Source organism: Homo sapiens, chromosome 1 (genome assembly GCF_000001405.40).
Source record: "Homo sapiens chromosome 1, GRCh38.p14 Primary Assembly".
Classification (NCBI taxonomy): Eukaryota; Metazoa; Chordata; class Mammalia; order Primates; family Hominidae; genus Homo; species Homo sapiens.
Window position 1 is genome coordinate 170,461,045 of NC_000001.11, and position 27,336 is coordinate 170,488,380.

At 36.9% G+C, this 27,336-nt stretch overlaps 1 long non-coding RNA gene across 1 annotated transcript in view, besides 1 other annotated feature; it reads right to left on the reverse strand.

Annotated features, from left to right (window-relative positions):
- Positions 1–272: 272 nt before the first annotated feature.
- GORAB-AS1 (GORAB antisense RNA 1) overlaps positions 273–27,336 on the reverse strand; it is a 71,293-nt gene continuing 44,229 nt past the window's right edge. The window contains exons 2-3 of the long non-coding RNA NR_125958.1: positions 1,165–1,375; positions 273–533 (exon numbers count right to left, since the gene is read on the reverse strand). This is a non-coding gene — a long non-coding RNA (GORAB antisense RNA 1). The remainder of the gene's footprint in view (positions 534–1,164; positions 1,376–27,336) is intronic.
- Positions 26,312–27,027: an enhancer, noted in NCBI's record as "OCT4-NANOG-H3K27ac hESC enhancer chr1:170456497-170457212 (GRCh37/hg19 assembly coordinates)". NCBI's record gives its function as "activates a minimal SCP1, AML or CMV promoter by ChIP-STARR-seq in naive and primed H9 embryonic stem cells {active_cell/tissue: H9 hESC(naive and primed)}" and the evidence as "EXISTENCE:reporter gene assay evidence [ECO:0000049][PMID:30033119]".

A 27,336-nucleotide genomic window follows, 5' to 3' on the forward strand; every position in this document is an offset into this window, starting at 1 on the left:
CAAAACTTGACTTCTGACATCTTTGCAGAGTGTGTATGATCTCCCACCATTGAATTTTTTATGTTTCCTAAAATGACTGAAACCTAAGCTAAGACTCAGTCATTATCTTGAAAAGGCTGTTGGCTACCTCATACTTGCTGAGAGTTTGGTAAGAAGTATAGTTAAATTGTAGGTTTTATGCCACATGGGCAATAGTGATTGGTCATCTAGGCAGGGCTTACAGACTAAAAATGGAGACATGCAGAAAGCAAGAAAGTAGGCAGAAGGCCAGATGAAAAATTCATCACACTTTCTTTATTTTCCTGTACATGGGAGCCTGTACCCATGACAGAACCAACAATTCAGAAGTATTCTGTTGTCTTTCCAGGAAAAATATCCCATTACTAAGCAATCAATTTGAAGTGCTCCATGGCCAGTCCAATTTCTCCATCATTTAGCTCTGAGTACACGGTTCAGTTATCCTGCCAGTCTCAGCTATTAGCTGGATCTGCCATATGATGATGTGATTTATTTCATGGCAACTGGTAGTTACTCTGGTTGAAAAAAGAAAAAGAATCCACAGGAACACAATTATTTTGACCTTGTATCCAGACAAGATTTATATCTGTGACAGGGATCAGAATGCAATTCCTAGTTGAGTCATTCTTAGGGGAAACAAAAGGAAGACTAGCCTGGGAGAAGGACTACTGGCTGGGATGTAAGAAATGAAGGAATTGCCGGTTCTCTTTCCTTCAATACCCTGTTAAGTCCAGGGTATTGATAGATTCACATCAGGTGATCTAGGTATTGATAAGAGTTTGGGGATGTCGTGTTTGTATGCAGGCCCAGCACCAAACAATAGTCAGTTGGCAAAGGGCATAAATGCAGTAACCTATGGCCTCTAAAATTCAGAATTGAGTAATCACATGGCAACTTCTGTCAAAAGAAAGAAACAAGAAAGAGAAAAAGAGACAGTAACTCACTTGCACCCACCAGTGAGGCCACCTCAGAGCAAAGCAAAAAAATGCTTTAGTGATGGTTCCTTGGGTGACAGCATCTGTTCAGAGAGTTGACTCAGAGAGCCTCAGAAGCTCAGGGTTCCAGCCAGGAGCAGAAAGGACTCTTGGCAGAGCTGTTTCCTGTACCTCTTTTGATCATAAAGCTCAGTTTTGGAAAGGTTCTCACCAGTCTTGTGGTTTCCTGGTTGTGCGTCAGTACATTCTGGCTGAAACACTTCCCTTCCTTCAGGCCAGCCTCTCCGCCAATGGCTCCCAGTTCCATGGTTCACTCTCTTCAGCTTTGAACTAGACTCCAAGGACACTGCTGGCTGCAGCATAAACCTTGAATGAGAGTTTGCAGCTGGGATGGTAGCCCTCCCCTCCTTGTGATGGGGATCCTAAAAGGAAAAAAATAAGGGTAAAACCAAAAGTCCATAGAAGCAGAGAATTTTAGAATCAATGAGTGGTTAGCATACAATCTCTTTCCCAATATAGTATGCAATAGAGTCACCTGGGCAACTGGTTAAAATACAGAGATTCCTAGTCCAAACTCAGATATTCTAAATGAGAATCTTTAAGTAGAAACTGGGAATCTGTGTTTTCAAGAATCTCCTTGGCAATTCTTACGTAGTCATTGTACAGTATAATTTACCAAATTTTATAAATTAGGAAACCTAGGCACAGAAACATTAATTAACTTTGTCAAGGTAAAACAGGTGGCCTAAATCTCACATTGTGCTCTTTCTATTGTACCACATTGTTCTTCACTCTTCTTTCTTGTGATTCTGTAATCAGGCTTGGGTCTCATGCTTCCTAACCATGCACTCTTCCTGTGTGCTTTGACCCTGTGTATTTCTCTGAAAATAACTCAGTCTGTTTATATAAGGTCACTTTCAAATCCCACTACCCTCAACTCAGGCATTATTAAGCAAATGTGTAAGTTCAGAACAGCTATTAGAAATGGTAATATTCGTATTCATCTGTTCCTGGCGAGAAGGTATATATGATGTGATCAGGGATACTGGCAGTTTGGATAGCTCACATATGCCGTCCCCACCCCACCAAAAAAAAGGAATTCTTCAGACACTTTAGCAAGTGATAATTATATACAGTCATTCAAAGTTTTCAGGGTTATTTACAGAACAAAGTTTCTGCAGGATGGCTTGAGTATGCTACAAAGTAGAAACGGTTAAGCAGAAGACCAAAAGATTCTCCAGTGAAAATGGCTTATTTTTCTCTAGAAACTTAATGGTATTAGAAACTGTAAATTTTGCAATGGATCAGAACCATCATAAACTGAAAGGAGCACTAAGGATGATATATGCTTCATCATTCCCATGCTTATAGACCAGAGTATGAACTGTTCCAGGAGTCACAGACTAGCTCAAAGAAGTCATAATACCATGTAATTAAGTACTTAATGGTATATGCATAGAGGAAACTTTTAAAATAATGCAAGAATAAAATTGTGGTTGAAGTGCAATTTTTGGAGTCAGATAGATCTGAATCAAAATCCCAGATCTACTACTTACCAGCTGTGTAGACTTGAGGAAGTTATTTAATTTCTTTAAGTCTTAATTTCCTCATCTATAAAATGAAACCTGAGAGGGTTCTCAAGAATATTAAATCATGAGAGTGGGAAGAATGAACTGGGGAGGGGGTGCTGGGTTTTTGAAGAAAACAACAGTAAAAGTGAGAAACATAGGTAAACCAAAGTTATCCAAGGAGAAATACAAAGTTATCCAAAGAGTAACAAACTAAAAATATTTGTATGATAATTAACCTAAAATATCAATGTGAGTTTTGTCACCAAATCCCATGAGTCCTGTGCCTACATTAGCATATGTAAAGATTGTCAGGGTCTAGCCAACATGGCCGATTAGGAACAGCTCCAGTATACAGCTCCCAGCGTGAGCGACGCAGAAGATGAATGATTTCTGCATTTCCAACTGAGGTACAGGGTTCATCTCATGGGGGATTGTTGGACAGTGGGTGCAGGACAGTGGGTGCAGCACACTGAGTGTGAGCTGAAGCAAGGTGAGGCATCGTCTCACCCAGGAAGCACAAGGGGTCAGGGAATTCCCTTTCCTAGCCAAAGAAAGGGATGACAGATGGCACCTGGAAAATCAGGTCACTCCCACCCTAATACTGCACTTTTCCAACAGTCTTAGAAACGGCACACCAGGAGATTAGATCCCACGCCTGGTTCAGAGGGTGCTACACTCACGGAGCCTCGCTCATTGCTAGCACAGCAATCTGAGCTCAAACTGCAAGGTGGCAGTGAGGCTGGGGGAGGGGCACCCACCATTGCTGAGGCTTGAGCAGGTAAACAAAGTGGCAAGGAAGCTCGAACTGGGTGGAACCCACCACATCTCAAGTAGTGCCTGCCTCTGTAGATTCCACCTCTGGGGACAGGGCATAGCCAAACAAAAGGCAGCAGAAACCTCTGCAGACTTAAATGTCCCTGTCTGACAGCTTTGAAGAGAGGAGTGGTTCTCCCAGCATGCAGCTTGACATCTGAGAATGGACAGACTGCCTCCTCAAGTGGGTCCCTGACCCCTGAGTAGCCTAACTGGGAGGCATCCCCTAATAGGGGCAGACTGACACCTCATATGGCCGGGTAGTCCTCTGAGACAAAAGTTCTAGAGGAACAATCAAGCAGCAACATTTGCTGTTCACCAATATTCGCTGTTCTGCAGCCACTGCTGCTGATACCCAGGCAAACAGGGTCTGGAGTGGACCTCCGGCAAACTCCAACAGACCTGCAGCTGAGGGTCCCGACTGTTAGAAGGAAAACTAACAAACAGAAAGGACATCCATGACAAAACCCCATCTGTACATCACCATCATCAAAGACCAAAGGTAGATAAAACCGCAAAGATGGGGAAAAAACAGAGCAGAAAAACTGAAAATTCTAAAAATCAGAGTGCCTCTCCTCCTCCAAAGGAATGCAGCTCCTCACCAGCAGTGGAACAAAGCTGGACGGAGAATGACTTTGACAAGTTGCAACAAGAAGGCTTCAGACGATCAAACTTCTCTGAGCTAAAGGAGGAAGTTCGAACTCATGGCAAAGAAGTTAAAAACGTTGAAAAAAGATTAGACGAATGGCTAACTAGAATAACCAATGCAGAGAAGTCCTTAAAGGACCTGAAGGAGCTGAAAACCACAACACGAGATCTACGTGATGAATGCACAAGCCTCAGTAGCCAATTCAATCAACTGGAAGAAACGGTATCAGTGATGGAAGATCAAATGAATGAAATGAAGTGAGAAGAGAAGTTTAGAGAAAAAAAGAATAAAAAGAAATGAACAAAGCCTCCAAGAAATATGGGACTATGTGAAAAGACCAAATCTATGTCTGATTGGTGTACCTGAAAGTGACGGGGAGAATGGAACCAAGTTGGAAAACACTCTGCAGAATATTATCCAGGAGAACTTCCCCAATCTAGCAAGGCAGGCCAACATTCAAATTCAGGAAATACAGAGAATGCCACAAAGATACTCCTCGAGAAGAGCAACTCCAAGACACATAACTGTCAGATTCACCAAAGTTGAAATGAAGGAAAAAATGTTAAGGGCAGCCAGAGAGAAAGGTCAGGTTACCCATAAAGGGAAGCCAATCAGACTAACAGCTGATCTCTCAGCAGAAACTCTACAAGCCAGAAGAGAGTGGGGGCCAATATTCAACATTCTTAAAGAAAAGAATTTTCAACTCAGAATTTCATATCCAGCCAAACTAAGCTTCATAAGTGAAGGAGAAATAAAATACTTTACAGACAAGCAAATGCTGAGAGATTTTTGTCACCACCAGGCCTGCCCTAAAAGAGCTCCTGAAGGAAGCGCTAAACATGGAAAGGAACAACCAGTACCAGCCACTGCAAAAACATGCCAAATTGTAAAGACCATCGAGGCTAGGAAGAAACTGCATCAACTAATGAGCAAAATAACCCGCTAACATCATAATGACATGATCAAATTCACACATAACAATATTAACCTTAAATGTAAATGGGCTAAATGCTCCAATTAAAAGACACAGACTGGCAAGTTGGATAAAGAGTCAAGACCCATCAGTGTGCTGTATTCAGGAAACCCATCTCACATGCAGAGACACACATAGACTCAAAATAAAGGGATGGAGGAAGATCAAGCAAGCAAATGGAAAACAAAAAAAGGCAGGGGTTGCAATCCTAGACTCTGATAAAACAGACTTTAAACAAACAAAGATCAAAAGAGACAAAGAAGGCCATTACATAATGGTAAAGGGATCAATTCAACAAGAAGAGCTAACTATCCTAAATATATATGCACCCAATACAGGAGCACCCAGATTCATAAAGCAAGTCCTTAGAGACCTACAAAGAGACTTAGACTCCCACACAAAAATAATGGGAGACTTTAACACCCCACTGCCAACATTAGACAGGTCAACAAGACATAAAGTTAACAAGGATATCCAGGAATTGAACTTAGCTCTGCACCAAGCAGACCTAATAGACATCTACAGAACTCTCCACCCCATATCAACAGAATATACATTCTTCTCAGCACCACATTGCACTTATTCCAAAATTGACCACATAGTTGGAAATAAAGCACTCCTCAGCAAATGTAAAAGAACAGAAATGATAACCAACTGTCTCTCAGACCACAGTGCAATCAAACTAGAATGGAGGATTAAGAAACTCACTCAAAACAGCTCAAGTACATGGAAACTGAACAACCTGCTCCTGAATGACTACTGGGTACATAACGAAATGAAGGCAGAAATAAAGATGTTCTTTGAAACCAATGAGAACAAAGACACAACATACCAGAATCTCTGGGACACATTCAAAGCAGTTTGTAGAGGGAAATTTATAGCACTAAATGCCCACAAAAGAAAGCAGGAAAGATCTAAAATTGACACCCTAACATCACGATTAAAAGAACTAGAGAAGCAAGAGCAAACACATTCAAAAGCTAGCAGAAGGCAAGAAATAACTAAGATCGGAGCAGAACTGAAGGAAATAGAGACACAAAAAACCCTTCAAAAAAATCAACGAATCCAGGAGCTGGTATTTTGAAAAGATCAACAAAATTGATAGACCACTAGCAAGACTAATAAAGAAGAAAAGAGAGAGAGAAGAATCAAATAGACACAATAAAAATTGAAAAAGGGGATATCACCACCGATCCCACAGAAATACAAACTACCATCAGAGAATACTATAAACACCTCTACACGAATAAACTAGAAAATCTAGAAGAAATGGATAAATTCCTCGACACATCCATCCTCCCAAGACTAAACCAGGAAGAAGTTGAATCTCTGAATAGAACAATAACAGGCTCTGAAATTGAGGCAATAAGTAATAGCTTACCAACCAAAAAAAGTCCAGGACCAGATGGATTGACAGCCAAATTCTACCAGAGGTACAAGGAGGAGCTGGTACCATTCCTTCTGAAACTATTCCAATCAACAGAAAAAGAGGGACTCCTCCCTAACTCATTTTATGAGGCCAGCATCATCCTGATACCAAAGCCTGGCAGAGACACAACAAAAAAAAGAGAATTTTAGACCAATATCCCTGATGAACATCGATGTAAAAATGTTCAATAAAATACTGGCAAACCAAATCCAGCAGCACATCAAAAAGCTTATCCACCACGATCAAGTGGACTTCATCCCTGGGATGCAAGGCTGGTTCAACATACTCAAATCAATAAACATAATCCAGCATATAAACAGAACCAAAGACAAAAACCACATGATTCTCTCAATAGATGCAGAAAAGGCCTTTGACAAAATTCAACAATGCTTCATGCTAAAGACTCTCAATAAATTAGGTATTGATGGGACGTATCTCAAAATAATAAGAGGTATCTATGACAAACCCACAGCTAATATGATACTGAATGGGCAAAAACTGGAAGCATTCCCTTTGAAAACTGGCACAAGACAGGGATGCCCTCTCTCACCACTCCTATTCAACATAGTGTTGGAAGTTCTGGCCAGGGCAATTAGGCAGGAGAAGGAAATAAAGGGTATTCAAGTAGGAAAAGAGGAAGTCAAATTGTCCCTGTTTGCAGATGACATGATTGTATATCTAGAAAACCCCATTGTCTCAGCCCAAAATCTCCTTAAGCTGATAAGCAACTTCAGCAAAGTCTCAGGATATAAAATCAATGTGCAAAAATCACAAACATTCTTATACACCAATAACAGACAAACAGAAAGCCAAATCATGAGTGAACTCCCATTCACAATTGCTTCAAAGAGAATAAAATACTTTGGAATCTGACTTACAAGGGATGTGAAGGACCTCTTCAAGGAGAACTACAAACCACTGCTCAAGGAAATAAAAGAGGATACAAACAAATGGAAGAACATTCCATGCTCATGGGTAGGAAGAATCAATATTGTGAAAATGGCCATACTGCCCAAGGTAATTTATAGATTCAATGCCATCCCCATCAAGCTACCAATGACTTTCTTCACAGAATTGGAAAAAACTACTTTAAAGTTCATATGGAACCAAAAAAGAGCCCGCATTGCCAAGTCAATCCTAAGCCAAAAGAACAAAGCTGGAGGCATCATGCTACCTGACTTCAAACTATACTACAAGGCTACAGTAACCAAAACAGCATGGTACTGGTACCAAAACAGAGATATAGACCGATGGAACAGAACAGAGCCCTCAGAAATAATGCCACATATCTACAACCATCTGATCTTTGACAAACCTGACAAAAACAGGAAATGGGGAAATGATTCCCTATTTAATAAATGGTGCTGGGAAAACTAGCTAGCTACATGTAGGAAGTTGAAACTGGATCCCGTCCTTACACCTTATACAAAATTAATTCAAGATGGATTAAAGACTTAAATGTTAGACCTAAAACCATAAAAACCCTAGAAGAAAACCTAGGCATTACCATTCAGGACATAGGCATAGGCAAGGACTTCATGTCTAAAACACCAAAAGCAATGGCAACAACAGCCAAAATTGACAAATGGGATCTAGTTAAACTAAAGAGCTTCTGCACAGCAAAAGAAACTACCATCAGAGTGAACAGGCAACCTACAGAACGGGAGAAAATATTTGCAATCAACTCATCTGACAAAGGGCTAATATCCAGAATCTACAAGGAACTCAAACAAATTTACAAGAAAAAAAACAAACAACCCCATCAAAAAGTGGGTGAAGCATATGAACAGACACTTCTCAAAAGAAGACATTTATGCAGCCAAAAGACACATGAAAAAATGCTCATCATCACTGGCCATCAGAGAAATGCAAATCAAAGCCACAATGAGATACCATCTCACACCAGTTAGAATGGCAATCATTAAAAAGTCAGGAAACAACAGGTGCTGGAGAGGATGTGGAGAAATAGGAACACTTTTACACTGTTGGTGGGACTGTAAACTAGTTCAACCATTGTGGAAGTCAGTGTGGCGATTCCTTAGAGATCTAGAACTAGAAATACCATTTGACCCAGCCATCCCATTACTTGGTATATAACCAAAGGATTATAAATTGTGCTGCTATAAAGACACATGCACATGTATGTATATTGAGGCACTATTCACAATAGCAGACTTGGAACCAACCCAAATGTCCAACAATGATAGACTGGATTAAGAAAATGTGGCACATATACACCATGGAATACTATGCAACCATAAAAAATGATAAGTTCCTGTCCTTTGTAGGGACATGGATGAAGGTGGAAACTATCATTCTCAGCAAACTACGGCAAGGACAAAAAACCAAACACCGCATGTTCTCACTCATAGGTGGGAATTGAACAATGAGAACACATGGACACAGGAAGGGGAACATCACACACCCGGGCCTGTTGTGGAGTGGGGGGAGGGGGGAGGGATAGTATTAGGAGATATACCTAAAGTTAAATGACGAGTTAATGGGTGCAGCACACCAACGTGGCACACGTATACATATGTAACAAACCTGCACATTGTGCACATGTACCCTAAAACTTAAAGTATAATTTTTAAAAAAAGAAAAAATTTGGGGAAAGGAAAAGGGCAATAAAAATGAGATTAAAAAGAAGAAGAAAAAGAAGATTGTCAAATATGGATAACATACACATATTGTATAAGCCCCATGAAATTAGGGAGTTTTATATGTTTGTTCACTCCCATGCCTTCTGCTTAGTTATGGAATCAATGAATAGGTTGGTAGGATCTAAAAAGAGCCAAAAGTCTTGATACCTCAACAAGAGAGGAGGCCAATTAATATGTAATGAATATATAAATATCTCTGAGCCATCTGGGTGACTGCCTATCCTGTGTGCAGTTGTGTGTGCCAAGTCTCTGCCCTACAGCCAAGAGATGAAGGTTAGGTTCTGTTGTAAGAGCAAAGCAGATTCCCTGTTGTGTTGCTAAAATGTCTTAAACTCTGCTTCAATACCAACGAACTTGGGGAACACCTGCTTAGATAAAAGTTATAATATTAGTAACCAATTGCCTAATACTTGAGATTATCTCAAATCAGATGCCATGTCAAGAAAGTCATGAGTTTGTCCTGAACATTTCCAAAATATTGCTACAATATAATGGAGACTTGGTGAAAAGGTGTTGGAAGTAAACCATAATTTAATAAATACTTCTTGTATTACAGATGAAGTCCAAAGCCATTAAATTGGCAGAAAAAAGTGAGGAGGGAAGAAGGGGAAGATAAGGAGAAAGAAGGAAGGAATGAAAGAAGGAAAAAGGAAGGAAGGAAGACCAGCAAAGAGAGTATAGGATCATATACTTAAACCAAAATATAAGTAAGCTAAAACTTACCGTTATTTTCTAACGTATAGTCTCTTAACATATCATTACCTTAATGAGTTAAATTAGTCACTATAAAATGAGTCAAACTGTCATAAGAACAAGAGTAGTTCCCTCTTCACAGCTCACTGCTGTGTACCTAGTGCCTTGGTAGTAGAAGTGGTACAGTATGCTGGTTATGAGCTCAAACTTGGGGTCATAGAGATGAAGATTGGCTCTGCCTCTCACTAGTTCTGTGACTTCAAAGAAGCCACTTATGCTGACTGAGCCTCAGTTGTTTTTGTTTTTTTGTAGAAGGGATATAAGAATATATACCTCACAGATTTGTATAAAGACAGTTTTGATAATAAATCCCAAAACATGGTACACAAGGCCCAACAATTTGTAACTACCATTTTCATCATCATCATCATCACTAATATTATTGACATCTTGAAATATCTCAATATCTGAGATCCTGAAATCTCTCAGTTTTATTATTTAAAAATGTATTATGTGAGTTGGTGTGGAAAATGGGGCTGCGATATGTATGTACTGCTGGAGCTCCTGGGAGAAAGATCTAAAATGCTATTCCCCTGTGGCAGTTGAGATGACTATACTTAGCTTTTATATGTATCCTATGTTCACAAACTGCATGCAACTTTTTCTATCCTTTGTATTCGACCTTCTGGTTACACACAATAGATTTTACCTTTTGCTGATGAAGCAACTAAAGCAAAGAAAAATGAAATACTTGGCCTGGGATCATAAGATGAGCCATAATTATCATAATTCCCCAAATCCCAGTCCTGAGTTTAGCCAAACAAACTGGAGTTACCATGGGGTTTAACAATGAGTCAACCACAGAGGTATCTGGGAGAATTTTAAGACAATCCAAATATACTTTGCATTTCTTAGTTTGTATTATACAAAAAAAAAAAAGTAAACTGAAACAGAGGAATGGAGAATACAAGGCTGTGTAGTAAAAATAGTAAGGAGTCTTTTAGATTCTACTGTAAAAACAAAGTAGATTTGATTCATAAGCTACAGGAAGATTATTCTGCCAAAAGAGAACCAAAAGAATGAGCTAAGTTTTAGAGAAAAATGATCAACATAGTCTGTGTGGTTACTAAGGTTGTTGCATGGAGACTTAAAATATTTAAATAAAATAAGAAATTCTGAGAGGTCAGAGAGTAGAATAGAAGAACATAGAAGTGGGAGTAGGGAGACCTGGCTCTGTTCATCATGAATTGAACTGCTTTATGGAGATCACATAGTTGCTAAAATGGGGATATCTATCCTAACCCTAAAGAATGATTATGAAGATACAAAAACAAAATGCTAGTTTTTTAAAAAATTAAAAACAATATGCACACTAGTTATTATTGAAACTTACTTATTAGGAAACATTGATTATTTCATATGACCACCCCTGTCTCCACCAGAAGAAACCCTGGAAAAAAATGTAGACTTGAATCCCATTCTCCTTTACCCACAAGTAGACGTGTATTAAATACTAGTTCCAGATATTGTAAAGGATTCAAAGACCTACAAAACATGAATTCTGCCCTTCAAAAATTTAGTTGGAGTATAAAACATAGAAAGTATATAATTACAGAAAGATAAATCATTTGATAAAGATAAATCATAGTTTAATAAATTGCTAAAACATTTCCACAAAAGACCACCATAAAAACTTATTAATGTTGATGAAAACTAGAATGGTTAAAGGGAGCAAAATAAAAGGAAGTTGAGTTTGTGATAAGACATGGAGGAATTAAATTGTTAAAATGAAAGTGTGGTTTTTTTTATATCATAATGAAAAGTTAAATTTTCATCCAATAGAAATTGAGGAAAGTCTAAAAAATATTTTAGTAAGAATGCATCTTTTGGAAGACTCATCTAGCAGTGGTGGTTTGGAAAAAGAATAAAAGCAAGGAGGCTCATTAGGAGACATTTGTGATCATTCAAATACAGGAACAAGAGCCTGAAATACAGTTATGGCTGTGGGAATTAAAATGAAACAAGCGTATGAGAAATTTTTAGGGAGATTTCTTAGGGAAAAAGTCTACAAAATCTGACAATTGATTCAGTGGATAAAGTAAAAATCAGGATAAAAATCAGACAAAAGAGACTACGGTTTTAAGCCTCAGTTCAGAAAAACATGGTCCTACCTACAGATATAGAATGTCACAAGAAGAATATTTTGCTATTATAACTTTTAAGAATAAAATTTTCAGCACAGTACTTGGGGAGTAGTAATAGCTCTAAAAATTACTACTGTCAGATATACTTAGAGATGTCTCAATAAATCAAGGGTAGGTTAGAGAAATTCAGAGACCTGGAAACAAAAGTTAGGGCTATATTTAGCAAATTCCAACAGTCTGCAAATATGCTATCTACCTTGTGGACTAGGCATTATCCACTGTGACATAAGCAGGCATATCAAGTTTACACGGCCTTAGAAAAGTGAATAGTTAAATTTGCTTAGGTGTTATCAAAGCCTAAGTGTTGTAGTGTCTTTCAGATCATGTGGGGTGTATATCAATAGATATCTCTTCTTACAGTACATTCTAAGAATGATGATGTATTCTCCCAATAATTCACAACAAAAACTTTAATAATTGTGGTCAGCAGAATAATGGTTCCCCAAAGATGTCTATTTCCTAGCCCCTGGGACCTTGAATATGCTACTTTACATTGTAAAAGGGTCTGCAAAGATGATAAATTTAAGGATCTTGTGATGGAAGATGACACTGGATTATCCAGTTGAGCTTACTATAATCACAGGTCCTTTTAAGTGAAAGACGACAAGAAAGTCAGAGTTAGAGATTTGAAGATGCTATGCCTCTTAATTTGAAGATTAAAAAAGTGGCTATGAGCCAAGGAATGCAGGCAACCTGTAAAAGCAAATAAACAGATTCTCCCCTAGGACCCCTAAAAGATATGCAGCCCATTCAACACCTTAATTTTAGTCCAGTAGGACTTTGCTGGACTTCTGACCTACAGAATTCTAAGGTAATAAATTTGTATTCTTCAAAGCTTCAATTGTTACAGAAAAAATAAGGAAATTCACACAATAATATTGTGTATATTTGTTGAATAATACATGTTAATTGTTGAAAATTAAAAGTCTATAAAAAAGTATCTTTTTAATAATATTATGACCAAATTTACTTTCCTGGCAGTGACAGAATAACATTTACCTGATTTGTCTTCTTATAAACAACTAGAAACTCGACAAAATATAAGAAACAACTCTTTTCAGATACATGACTATATTCTCTACAAGAGAGTAGGAAAATGAAGTGAGCTCTACAATTCCCCAGCTGTCTCCGTGAAAACACTTTTGAGACCACATTTGAAATTCCAGTCATCCAGAGGGAAGAGACTTTTTAGAACATCTGTACCATACAACAGAGACTCAAGAAATATTGCACCTTAGTTGTAGGACTAAACTAGCTCCAGAAGACAGGCAACTCTAGACCTGCACTGAGAAAGTTTAAAAATAAGCCTGAAAAAATTAAATGAAACCTCAATTTATCTAGCTGGCACTCAAAACAAGAGTTAACACTCTTCAAAAGGAAGTAAACAAAATACACAGACTCTTCAATGTAATATTCACATTGGTCAGCAACCAATCAAAAAATACTAAATATGCAATAGGCCAGGAATTATGACCATAACCAAAATAAAAATGAATTGATAGAAACAGATGCAGCAATGATAGAGATGGTAGAATTAGTATACAAGGATATTCAAGCAGCTATAATAAATAGGATCATGAAGTTAGTAAAGCATGAACATAAGAACAAGAGAAATCTAAACTAAAGAAGAGTGAAACTGAACTTCTAAAACTGAAGTTCATGTCCAGAACTTCACTAGACTGGAATAGCAGCCAATTAGACATTACAGAAGAAAAGATCAATGAATTTGAAGACATAGCAAGAGAAACTATCCAAACTATAGCACACAGAGAAAAAAAGCTAAAGAAAAAGATGAGACTCAGTGACTGTGGAACAATATCACATAGTTTAACATACATGTAAATGGATTCCCAGGAGAAAAACTATTTGAATACATAAAATCAGAAGTTTCCCAATTTGATGAAAACTATAACCCATATATCAAAAATGCCCATGCATTCAAGAAGCAAAATAAAAACAAAAAGAACCACAGGAAGTCCTATCATTATCAAATTACTGAAAATCTGTAATAAAAAGAAAATATTAAAAGCAGCCAGAAATAAAGAGACACATTAAATTCAGAGAAACAAATGTAAGAATGATTAATGACTTCTCAGAAATAAAAAAGCAAGAATACAATGAAACAGCGCCTTAAAAGTGCTGGATATAAAAAGTGTCAACCTAGAAGCTAATATACAGAAAAAATATCCATCAAACATGGACATGACCTAAAAGCATTTAAATACAAACAAAAGCTGAGAGAATTTGTCACTAGAAAACATGAATTAAAAGAAATGTGTTTGGAAGTTCTTTAGGACCAAAGGAATATCAGATGGAAACTTGGATTTATAACAAAAATGAAAAGCCCTGAAAATGCTATATGTGGATAAATATGAGAAATCTTTATTTAACTGTAATTTACTTTACTTTTTAAAATCTGTTTAGAACAGTAACAACAATGTATTGAAGGCTAATGTGTGTAAAAATATAATCTATGACAATATTAGCACAATTATGACATAATTTTATGCAAATAAAGTTGTATGGTAGTAAGAGTCTTACATTATACATGAAGTAGTATATTATTTGAAGGCAGACTTAAAGAAGTTAAAGATGCTTATTATAAAACTTGAGTAATCACTACAAAAAAAGACCACATTGATAATAAGCAAAAAAAAGGAAATAGAATATTTAAATATACTCAATTAAGACCCAAAAAGCCATGAAAATGGTAAAAATATATAAACAGGAAAAATGAAGAAATATTTAGGATAGTAAACAAATATGATGAAAGGATTAAACTTAACTGTATTGATAATTACACTCAATAATTATCAATTATCAATTGATAATTACACTGTTTAGATGACCTAAACATCTCAATTAAAAGGCAGAGATTGTCACATTGGATAAAAAAGCAAAACACAACTCTATGTTTTCTAAAAAAAAAAAAACACCTTAAATATAAGAATATACAGAGGTTAAGAGTGAAAGAATAGAAAAAGATACCACAGAAACACTAAAGAGAAAGCTTATATGGCTATATTAATATCAGGCAAAATGTAGTTCAGAACAAGGAATACTATCAGGAATAACAAGGCCATTTCATAATGACAAAAGAGCCAATTCATCGAAAAGATGTAACAATCCTAAATGTGTATGCACTTTATAATACAGCTTAAAAAATACGTAAAATAAAAACTAATAAAAATGACAGGAGAAATAGAAAAGCCCACAATTATAGTTGGATGTAATAACACATCTCTCCTAGTAATAAAACAGGTTGACAGAAAATCAGTCTAGAAAACTTGAACATTATCAACCAATGTGACACCTAATTGACATATACCAACAATGGCAGGATAGACTTTTTTCACATGCAAATTGGACATTTACCAAGATAGACCATATGCTGAGACATAAAACAAGTCTAAATAAGTTGAATGGATTCAAATCATATGTAGTATGCCCTCTGACCTCAACAAATTTAAATAAGAAACTAATAACACAAAGACATATGAAAAATCTCCATATTCTTAGAAATTAAACAATATACTTCTCAATAACCCATGAATGAAAGAAAAAAATCTAAAGGCAAATAAGATAATATTTCAAATTGTATGAAAACGAAAACACAACATATCAAAATTTATGGGATACAGCTAAGTGATTGCCTGAAGATAAATTTATAGTTTTAATGCTTGTATTAGAAAAGAATATGTAATATCAGTGATCTGAGTTTTCATTCTAAGAAGCTAGAAATCAATTATACTATTAAGCATAAAATAGAAAAAAAGAAAATAATAAAGGCAAGAGCAAAACTCAATGGAATAGAGAAGAAAAAAATCAGAGAAAAACCAAATATCTAAAAGATACTTATTTTTAAAAGATCAATAAAATATAGACATCTGGCTAGACTGACCAAGAAGACAAACTTTTTAAAACATAACAGGGAAAAAACAATACATTTGACTTTATCAAAAAATTTTTTTAACTCTCCAAAAGAGAAAATTAGGAAATTAAAATGCAAGCCATAGACAGGGATGTGGGGGGATATCTGTAATACATATATTTGATAAAAGGCTTGTATCCAAAATATATACATATAAAATTTTTGCAACTCTATAATAAGAAAAGAAGCAACCCAATTTTTTGAAAATGGGCAAAAGATTTGACCAATTGCTTGCAAAAGAAAATGTATAAATGGTAAATAAATAGGGGGAAAGATGGTCCATATAATCTGTAATCAAGGAAATACAAAAATCAAGCCCACAATGAGATATTACTAGACAGGCATTTAGAATGGCTTAAAGGTATTTAAACTGTCAGTATTCATTGTTGTTATGAATAAAAAGTAAGGGAAATTTTTATACATTGATGATGGAAGTGTAAAAGATGCATCATTTTGGAAAAGAGTTTAGCAATATGTGTCAAATTAAAGTATGCTTACCGTTTGGCCCAGTGATTTCATTTCTTGGTATTTACCCATGAAAACGGAAAACATATATTCACAAAAAAAATCTGTATACAAATGCTCATAACGGCTTTATTCATGATGGTTCCAACCTGGAAAAAACCTAAAGTTCCATTAACAGATAAAAGGCTAAACAAACTACGAATGCTACTTAGCCAAAGGAACAAAAAAAAAAAGAAAGAAAGAAATGAACTGCTGACATATGCAACAGCAAGGCTAAGGTTCAACAATATTATGTTGACTTAAGAAAGTTAAAAACAAAACAGTACATACTGTTATACTGTATGTGTATTCCATTATACTGTTACACATTGCATTATATGACATCTAGAATAGGCAAGACATACATAGTGACAGAAAGAAGGTCAGTAGATACTTCACTGAGTAAAGGAAGGGATGCTGACAGCAAATGGGCATAAGGGAAATTTTGGGGGTGATAAAAATATTCTTTATCAATTCAAGTGATTGTTATATGAGTTTATATGTTTGCCAATACTTATTAATTGTTCACCTAATATATGTGCATTTTATTGTATGTCATTTATATTCCAATGATGCTGATTTTAAAGAAAAATCTATTTAAAAGTCTATAAATCTGTCATCCAATTTTGTTATAATTACTCCTAATTTTATCAAATTTCTAATTCATATTCAAGATTTTTTCTATGTATTATTTGATGCCTGTTTCTCTACCTGTACCATTTATAAGCACTTGATGCATACCATCAGTAATTATTTGCAGAAATTTTCTAGCTTAATGATCCCTATGATCCTTTATTATTTTAATAAAAATTTGTCTTATAGTTTGGTATTTAGATTTTCAGTTTATCATTTTTAGAAATAACATTCCAGTCATCACCTCTACACATAAAGCTTTGTCCACACTTGTATCAGTTCCTTGTGAAAGATTTCTAGAAAGCAATATTGGCTTAGGTTACAGGATACAGGAAGAAGTTATTTATATGCGGCCCCTACTTTTCTAGAATTTTACTTATAAAAATTCTGCTTAAAAGATGAGCCACAAGGACAAACTAATACTATGATTCTTATTTCAAGATGATTTGCTTGGAAGTTATATTTTAATTAATTAGCCCATTAGAAATTGGGGCAAGATGTCTGGGCACAGTGGCTCACGCCTGTAATCCAAGCACTTTGCATCATTGTCAGATGCAAAGTTTGCAAATATTTTGTCCTATTCTGTAGGCTGTCTGTTTAGTCTGTTGATAGTGTCTTTTGCTGTACAGAAACTCTTTAGTTTAGTTAGGTCCCATTGTCAATTTTTGTTTTTGTTACAATAGTTTTTGTAGTTTTCATCATGAAATCTCTGCCAGGGCCTATGTCCAGAATAGTATTTCCTACATTTTCTTCCAGGGTTTGTGGTTTTAGGTTTTACATTTAAATCTTTAATCCATCTTGAGTGATTTCTGTACATAGTAAAAGGACAGGGTCTAGTTTCAATCTCCTGAAATGGCTAGCCAGTTATCCCAACACCCATTATTAAATAAGGAGTCCTTTCCCCATTTCTTGTTATTGTAACCTTTGTCAAAGATCAGATGGCTGTATTATAGATGTGCAGCTTTATTTCTGGGTTCTCTAAGCTGTTCCACTTGTCTGTGTGTCTGTTTTTGTACCAGTACCATGCTGTTTTTGTTACCATAGTCTTGTAGTTTAGTTTGAAGTCAGGCAATGTGATGCCTCCAGCTTTATTCTTTTCACTTAGGGTTGCTTTGGCTATTCAGGCTTTATTTTGATTCCATATGAATTTTTGAATAGTTTTTTCTAATTCGAGGCAAATGTTTTTGGTAGTTTGATAAGAATAGCATTAAATGTGTAGATTGCTTTGGGCAGTATGCCCATTTTAACAATAGTGACTCTTCCTATCTGTGAGTATAGAATGTTTTTCCATTTGTTTGTGTCATCTCTGACTTCTTTCAGCAGTTTTTAAATTCTCATTATGGAGATCTTTCATTTCCCTTGTTAACTGTATTCCAAGGTATTTCATTACTTTTGTGGCCATTGTGAATGGGATTGCATTCTTGATTTGGTTCTCAGCTTGGACATTGTTGATGTATAGAAATGCTACTGATTTTTGTACATTGATTTTGTATTCTGAAACATTGCCAAAGTTGTTTATCAGATATAGAAGCTTTTGGGCAGAAACTATCAAGTTTCCTAGGTATAAAATCATATCATCTGCAAAGACAGTTTGACTTGTCTTCCTATTTTGATGCCTTTTATTCATCTCTTGCCTGATCACTCTGGTTAGGATTTCCAGAACTATGTCAAGCAAGAGTGATGAGAGTGGGCATCTTTGTCTTCTTCAGGTTCTCAAAGGGAATGCTTCCAGCTTTTGCCCTATCAGTATGATATTGCTTGTAGGTTTGTCATAGATGGCTCTTATTATTTTGAGATATGTATCTTCAATGCCTAGTTTATTGAGGGTTTTTAACATAAAGGGATGTTGAATTTTATTGAAATTCAACATTCTATTGACATGATCATGTGGTTTTTGTTTTTAGCTGTTTATGTGATATATCACATTTATTGATTTACATATGTTGACCCAACCTTGCATCCCAGGAATAAAGTCTACTTGATCATGGTGGATTAGCTTTTTGATATGCTGCTGGATGTGGTTTGCTAGTATTTTGTTGAGAATTTTTGCATCTGCATTCATCAGGGATATTGGCCTGAAGTTTTCTTTTTTTGTTGTGTCTCTGCCAGGTTTTGGTATCAGAATGATGCTGGCTTCATAGAATGAGTTAGGGAGGAGTGTATCCTACTCCAATTTTTGAAATAGTTTCAGTGGGATTGGTATCAGCTCTTTATACATCTAACAGAATTCATCTATGAATCTATCTGGTTAGGGACTCTTTTTGGTTGATAGGTTTTTTTATTACTGATTTAATTTCTGAACTCTGTTGGTCTGTTCAGGGTTTCAATTTCTTCCTGGTTCAATCTTGGGAGGTTGTATGTGTCCAGGAATTCATCCATTTCTTCTAGGTTTTCTAGTTTGTGTGCACAGAGATGTTCATAGTACTCTCTGAGGGTTTTTTTTTTTTATTTCTGTAGGATCAGTAGGATTGTCCCCTTTGTCATTTCTGATTGTGTTTCTTTGGATCTTTTTCTTGAATTTTAATATCATTCTCTCTAGCAAGGCTGGGAAAATTTTCATGGAAAATATCCTCAAACATGCTTTCCAAGTTGCTTCCTCTGTATCCCTCTCTTTCAGGGATACCAATGAATCATAGGTTTGGTCTCTTTATATAATCCCATATTTCTCTGAGGTTTTGTTCATTTTTTAAATTATTTTTTCTTTATTTTTATATGACTGAGTTGATTGGAGGACCCAATCTTCAAGCTCTGAGATTCTTTCCTCAGCTTGCTGTATTCTACTATTAATACTTCCAATTGTATTATAAAATTATTGTGTGAGTTTTTCAGCTCTATTAGTTTGGTTCTTTCTTAAAATGGCTATTTTGTCTTTCAGTTCTTGAATAGTTTTACTGGATTCCTTAGATTCCTTGGATTGGGTTTCAACTTTCTCCTGAATCTCAACAAGCTTCAATGCCATCCAGATTCTGAATTCTATGTCAGTCTATTCAGCCATTTAAATCAGGTTAAGAACCATTGCTAGGGAGCTAGTGCAGTCATGTGGAGGTAAGAAGACATTCTGGCTTTTACAGTTACCAGAGCTTTTATGTTGATTCTTTCTCATCTCTGTGGGCTGATATTCCTTTAATCTTTGCATTGCTTTCTTTTCAATAGGGCTTTTTGCTTTTATATTCTCTGATGCCCTTGAGGGTTTGACTGTGGTTTTAAGCTGGGTTTAGTCAACTGGCTTCATTTCTGAATGATTTCAGGGGGCCAAGCCTCAGCTCAGCACTTCTGAGCTGCATGCTGTATACCTGGGGGCCTGGGATCAGGCCCACAGCTTTTTTTCTCAGACTCCTCAAAGTTAAGCACCTGCTCTGCTGGAGGGACTGAGGTACTCCCTGTCTACTGGCAATAGCACTCCGATGGGGAGTGTCAGACAAAGCACTTAGGGCAGTGGCACCAGGGTGCATGCCAGCAAAGCAGTCATGGGAGGCTACAGACAAGTGTGTTATGGCAAATCAGTGGAGTGCAGCTGCAGGCAGGTGCATGCTGGCAGGGGTACATCTTCAAAAGCTCTCTGATGATTAGGCAGGGTCATCTCACTATGTCAGTGGCCACCAAGAAGCACCCTGTTTGGGAATCTGAAGCTGCACTGCAAACAAGTTCAGCCAGGCAGGAACTCCGGGAGAGGCTGGTGGCAGACAGGAGAGTCATCAGATCAGATTGGCCCTGTCCCACAGGCAAAATATCCCTGCTCTGTCCAGGTACAGCAGTCAACAAAGACCAAAGCCTCCTAGAGGAACATGGCAAGCCTTAAGGCATGGGCATCTCTGGCCATGCTCCACTGCAGCCATTCCCATGCCAAACCCTGTGGGTTCCTTGCAGACTGTAATCCTGTCCCTGCTAACTCTCCAAGCCATTCTCTCTGCCAGCTTAAATGTCCATGGGGGTTGCTGGCAGGTCTCCTGCAGCCAGGATTCTGGAGGTCCATGGAGAGAGTGGTCCGCTGCACACCTATTTAGCTCATCCTCCCTCAGGAGCCACTTGGAAGCAGGAACAAATACTGGTGCTCACTATTTTTTATTTATATATGTTACAGGTATATTTATTGTACTCTCCAAAGTCACCCCAAGAGACATAAGGAAATAATGAAGTGTATCATGGCAAACAATAGAACAGAATAAATAACCAAAGAAATTGAAGCAGAGTGAAAACTTAAGGTCTTACAATTCATAAACCATTTAGATATTAAGTCCACAAATTCTTGAAAGCTATATTGTAAATAGTAGGTTAAATTTATGATTAATAAAAACTATTTAACATGATTATATTTTCTATGCTAAAGTTTTATATTAAAATCATCTTAGTGCCTCCTTCATCCTGAATAGGTAAGGCTGAGAACACCATAACATGAGTATCTCCAAAAGAAGGCATTTTCTGATCAGGATAACACTTTTCATAGATTCCCTGATTATGATAGTAGTAAAAATACTAGATGATTGTTTACTATTTTTTGTTTAATGAAATCAAAAGTTAACATACTTTCTTATTCTAAGATGTCATTGACTGTCATATGCACTATAAATAACAACTTTAGGCACAATAAATAAGCAAACATTAAACATTCACATTGAATTTAAGACTCATTCCAACTATGGAAGAATAAACTATGGGCAAAGTACATTTTATCATTGAGGATACCGTACTTTTAAAATAGCTGATCTGAATTCAGTGAGTTCACTAGTAATTTTGAGACAGTAAATATCAAAGTATTGGATCTTTTTTGCTCCCATTTGCTTGACTTTAAAATGAGATTATTCTCTGCCTTTCTGAAAGTAGAGAAAGAGAAGGGCTAAAGGAGGACAGGGCAGAAGAGATAATATTTGAAGAACAATTCTAGCTCTAAGGCTTTTAGGTTACAGTTCCATGTTTCTCAATAACAATAAAATTATTGAAAGGGAACAGATGCTCATTTGATTAATTCATACAAACACTTGTTTTAACTTACATTCTTTTCTGAATCTATTTGCAGTTCTCAGAGAATTTCTGTCTTTGTAACCCATGATTTTGAAAGAAACTTTAAAAGTTGATGATTTTAGGAGCTGATGAGTCATTCTTTCTTCATAAAATCTTTGACGACAAGCTCCAATAGCTAAAGTAGACACAGCTTCCAATGAGCAGGACAGCAGCTCCACTTCTAATAAGTTAATCCAATGGTTTTTGTCATGAGCAAAACAAGAAATCATGTTTTTAATAATACTAAAAGGTCGCTGCATCTTGTTAACATCTGGAGTTCAATCACTTCTGTGCTAAAAACCGGGGAATGCTTCAGCAGGGCATAAATCTTGCCCCTTATTGTACATACGATCCAGATGCCGGAGGAGAATTAATGTTTGTTTGTAACACATCTGGTGTCGGCAGCTTTGAGTAAGCTCTAATAGAAAGAGTGTGGAACTAACGCAGCATTACACCTTCACTCAGGCCAGGGGTTCTAGACTGAAGGTAAAAGCCTTCAGGTGTCCCTTGGGGTTTAGCAATAAACTGCACTAATCAGCTCTGGCATTGTGTTAAGTGCAGGGTGTTTTGAATTTTCCACATCAGTTTCGCAGCCCTGTAATTCTACATTCCAAGTGTCTGCTTTTGACAACTTTGTAGACTTGCCACCATCTTAAGCTCCAAATGAAAGAAAGGCCCAGATTCACTGTCAGAGTTCAGACTATCTCATAAAATGGGGGAGGACAGATGATCACTACCAGAGCAGTAGTGAGCAAATAATAACAAGACTAGCCTTATCTGTAGATATAAAAAGTGACTTGGTATCCTATCCATGAAAAGCAATAGAATGAAGTAGAAAGAGTGCAGAATTTCAGCTGGGACATCTAAACTCAAGCCCTATCTCTGGTACGAGTGCAGAAGTCCAAAATTAACTGGGTCATATTTTCTCACAAGGGATGTACAAGAACAAAACCAGAAGATGACTTTTTTGTAACAAGAGGATCAGGTCCAAATTTCCTGGAATAGTATTTTAATTCACTTTGTAATATAACCTTCCTTCCCAACCTTTGTTATCATCAGCATATTCTGGGTTTTAAACTATAACAAATATCTTGCACCTTAAAAACCTGCCACATAATTTGATGTTTTACAGTCTTTGTCCTTGTTATTCCTATTGGTTATAATGTTTTCTTCAATCCATTTGCCTACTTATTAATTTCTGGGCACTTTGCACTAAGATTCCTTCTTTATAAAGCACTTGTGCATGTCTCTAGCATAGTACTTTTTATGGAGTATTATATATTGCCCATTGTTTTCTGTGTCTTTCTCCTTGGCTAAACGGTGACCCTACTTCATGATATCTGTGAAAGAAAAGGTGGTAACCATTAGGGGCACTTAATAATAAAGTCTTATTTTTTTGAGCTAGTGTCTCGCTCTGTCACCCAGGTTGGAGCGCAGTGGCATCATCTCAGCTCACTGCAACCTCCCCCTCCCATGTTCAAGCGATTCTCCTGTCTCAGCCTCCTGAATAGTTGGGATTACAGGTGTGTGCCACAATGCCTGGCTAATTTATTTACTTGTTTTTTAGTAGAGATGAGGGTTCACCATGTTGGCCAAGCTGGTCTCGAACTCCTGACCTCAAGTGATCCACCCGCCTCAGCCTCCAAAAGTGCTCGGATTACAAGCATGAGCCACCACGCCCAGCCCATTTAATAATAAAGTCTTAAGGATACATTTCATGTTGTTGCAGATAGCCTCCAATTAAATCACACTTCTATGAGAAAATTATTTGTGATGGCCAAATGATATGGCAGCAAATGCTACTGGGTAATTGGGGGATTTTATAGTAGGATTTAAAAGAGTACCTACCTAACTGTAAATGTGTTTTTATGATGGTGTTGTGCTCTGTCGGGGGTCAGGCTCTGAAATCAGAGAGGTAAGATACTCACATCAGCAGAGGCATATAGGAACCAAGATCATCTGAACCAAGGACAGATTCATGTGTCCTAATTCACACTGTCTGGTTCATGTGTTCATTGAGGAAAATGGTGGGTAAAATCTTCCACCCTGTTCAAAGTGTTCTTCATTTTAAGTTGGTACAGCATGTATGGTTGACTGAGTTAAATATGCATATGACATGGTTCCACTAATCACATGTTTTAAATTTGGCTTTTGTAACTGTAACTAGAAACCCAGAAGAGGCTATTTTCCAATTTAGACTTGAAAACTGCCACAGCACCAAATGAATCATATAGAATAAAATTATAAGACAGGAACACTGGAAGAAAAAATGCAGAGTACAAAAGTAAGATTGAAAAAGGTATTAATGTCTCAAAGAGACTGATTTCTAGTACTAATATGATTCTAATAACTTCACTTTGTTTTTGGAGAATGCTTGTATATTCCTCAGTACTTTCATATGTCTTTGATTTGTTTCTCTTCCCTGCCTACCTGTGGAATAATGGGCAAGACCATGCTTAGGGTGGAAGGAAAAGCGAAGAATGGATACCTCAATCTGAAAATAGCCACATAAGTTATATTAGTTTTCCAGTAGAAAGTTTTCTAGCTTATAAAGACTTATTATGGAAAAGAGCTTAGATTGAAGAAGACATATTTAGTTCTAGTATGAAGAAAAAATAACTAATAGAAGATAAAACTAATGAAGTGCTGAAACACACACACACCCAAGGCTGACACAATTCACAACCAACAGATCTTCACTGCAAGAAATATAAAAGAACATGTTCTAGACTGAAAGAAAATAATAAAAGTTGAAAGTGCAAGAAGCAATGAACATCTTTGTGAAAGGTAAATATGTAGATAAATATAAAGTATTGACTGTTTAAAGCAAGAACAATTGCAGTATTTTATGGGGATTATCACATGTAGAAGCATATGACAATAGCAAAAATGGCAAAGGTGGAGTAGAGGGTAATAGATGTATACTGTTCTAGATGTTTTACATTGTTGGAAAAGCCAAAAAGGTATTAAGATAGACCATAATAAGTTAGCATGTGTCTTATAATTTTTAGCGTATCCACTAAAGCAATTATATTAAAAAACATAACACAAGCCTACCAGAGGAGAAAAAATGAAATATAAAAAGTATTTTATTATTACAAAGCAAGTATAATAAAGGAACAAAAACAAGGGAAAAATAGAAAACAAATAGCAATATGGGAGACTAAACCCAACTACATCAGTAATTGCATTTTACGTAAATGGATGAAACACTTCAGTTAACAAGACTTCCAGTTCACATTTTTAAAAAAATACAATTATGGCTGCTTATAAAAAGCACACCATAAATATAAAAATATATAGTATTTTAAAGAATGTAAAAAAGACATGCTAAGTGAACATTAGCCAAAAGAGAGCTGGTGTGACTAAAGTGATATCAAAGTAGAGTTTAAGATGAGAAAAATATAGAGCAATAAAGAGTGATATTTCATAATATTAAAAGAACCATATATTCACAAGAACACAAAGTCCTGAATAATCTGTACACCCTCCTTGTTTGGAGATTAAAGCTGACTTCATAAGACTAGGTTAGAATTATTGTAGGCACTTAAACTTTGCTTAAGTCCCTATCTCTACAAAAATAAAGGTTAAAAACACAATTAGCCAGGCATGATGGCACACATCTGTAGTCTCAGCTACTTAGGAGGCTGAGGCAGAAGGATCACTTGAGCCTGGGAGTTTGAGGCTACAGTGAGCTGACTGTGCCACTACACTCCAGCAAGACACTGTATATATGTATATATCATTATTTTATATATATATATCATTATTATATATATATATGTTGTTAAACAATAACCTGCCATTCCTTAGTTTACTTTTCTATAAGTTGCTTATGACCCCAGAGTCACATAACTGGAAGTCCAAAAATTTATAATGGCCGGGTGCGGTGACTTATGCCTGTAATCCCAGCACTTTGGGAGGCTGAAGTGGGTGGATCATGAGGTCAAGAGATTGAGACCATCCTGGCCAACATGGTGAAACCCCGTCTCTACCAAAAATACAAAAATTAGCTGGGCATGGTGGCATGCGCCTATAGTCCTAGCTACTCAGGAGGCTGGGAGGCGGAGGTTGCAGTGTGCTGAGATCGTGCCACTGCACTCCAGCCTGGCGACAGAGTGAGACTTCATCTCAAAAAAAAAAAAAAAAAAAAAAAGAAATGATAACTTCTCCAACTACTCTATAAATAACGTCATTATTGTGAAAACTAAAAAACTGGTCTTTGAGACATTTTTCAGATTTAGCATTTTGACAGACCAAGAGACAAAACTTGGTCCTGAGGCCCCTTTTTGGAAGTGACTCAGCCACACAAAGACAGTTTAGACACCGCTGTGATTTCATCCCTAGCCAGTCATTGTTTCAATTCCCCCAGCCCCCTGCTTGCTAAAATATCCTTAAAAACCCTAGCCTCTGAAGTTTTAGGGAGATGGATTTAAGAAATACCTCTCCTCCTCTGACTTGGCTGGCCCTGTGATTATTAAACTCTTTCCTTGCTGCAATACTGCTGTTCTCAGTGAATTGGCTTTTCTGGGCAGCAGGCAAGAACCCATCAGGTTGCTACACAACCAGATGATTGAGGCTTATGTACCATCTTAGGCTAACCAAAACAAAAGGTGTTTGGGGCTCTGTGCAGGGAAGGTGAGAGGAGGATATTATGGTAAATAAGGTTTGTCTTGTTATGCAGATAAGATCTCTCTGGTGATAACAGTTGTCTCCAGGATTAGCTTTCTTCCTGGTAGGGAGACATCTTTACAAATGGAAACTTCTTTTATAAATGTAAACATCCTTCACAAAAGGGGAGATTTATATTCTATTGTTAGGCATTTAGGGGAAGGTAAGAGCTCTTCCTATACCTGCAGGTTCTCAACTGTCTTTAGCTCAGAATATTCTATGTAACAGAGTCATATTTTGAGGTGGCATATTCTGGTATCTTTCAACAACATCTTTAAATAGGTTCTCACCCAACTCACCTAATAAAATAGCTTTGTAGGGATTCTAGCCAAGGTGGCCAACTAGATGCTGCCAGGAAGAGCGTCTACCATGGAATGACAAGACCATCAAGAAGACTGGCACACTCCAAGCAGATCTTTGGAGGGAAGGCATTTGGAGTGGACAGAGGGAGGACGCAGACCCTGGGTTGAAGTGGGAGGAAGCTGGGAACCCTGCATTGGGCTGCTGAGCACCATGACTCCTTTCTGGCCCCCAGCAGCTTCTGGGGCAGAAGTGAGTTGAACAGATGAGGAGTGACCCACTCTTGCCACAGACCTCTGGAATCCTAGCTGCAGAGACCCTGAGACCCCCATGGACATTTGAGCTGACAGG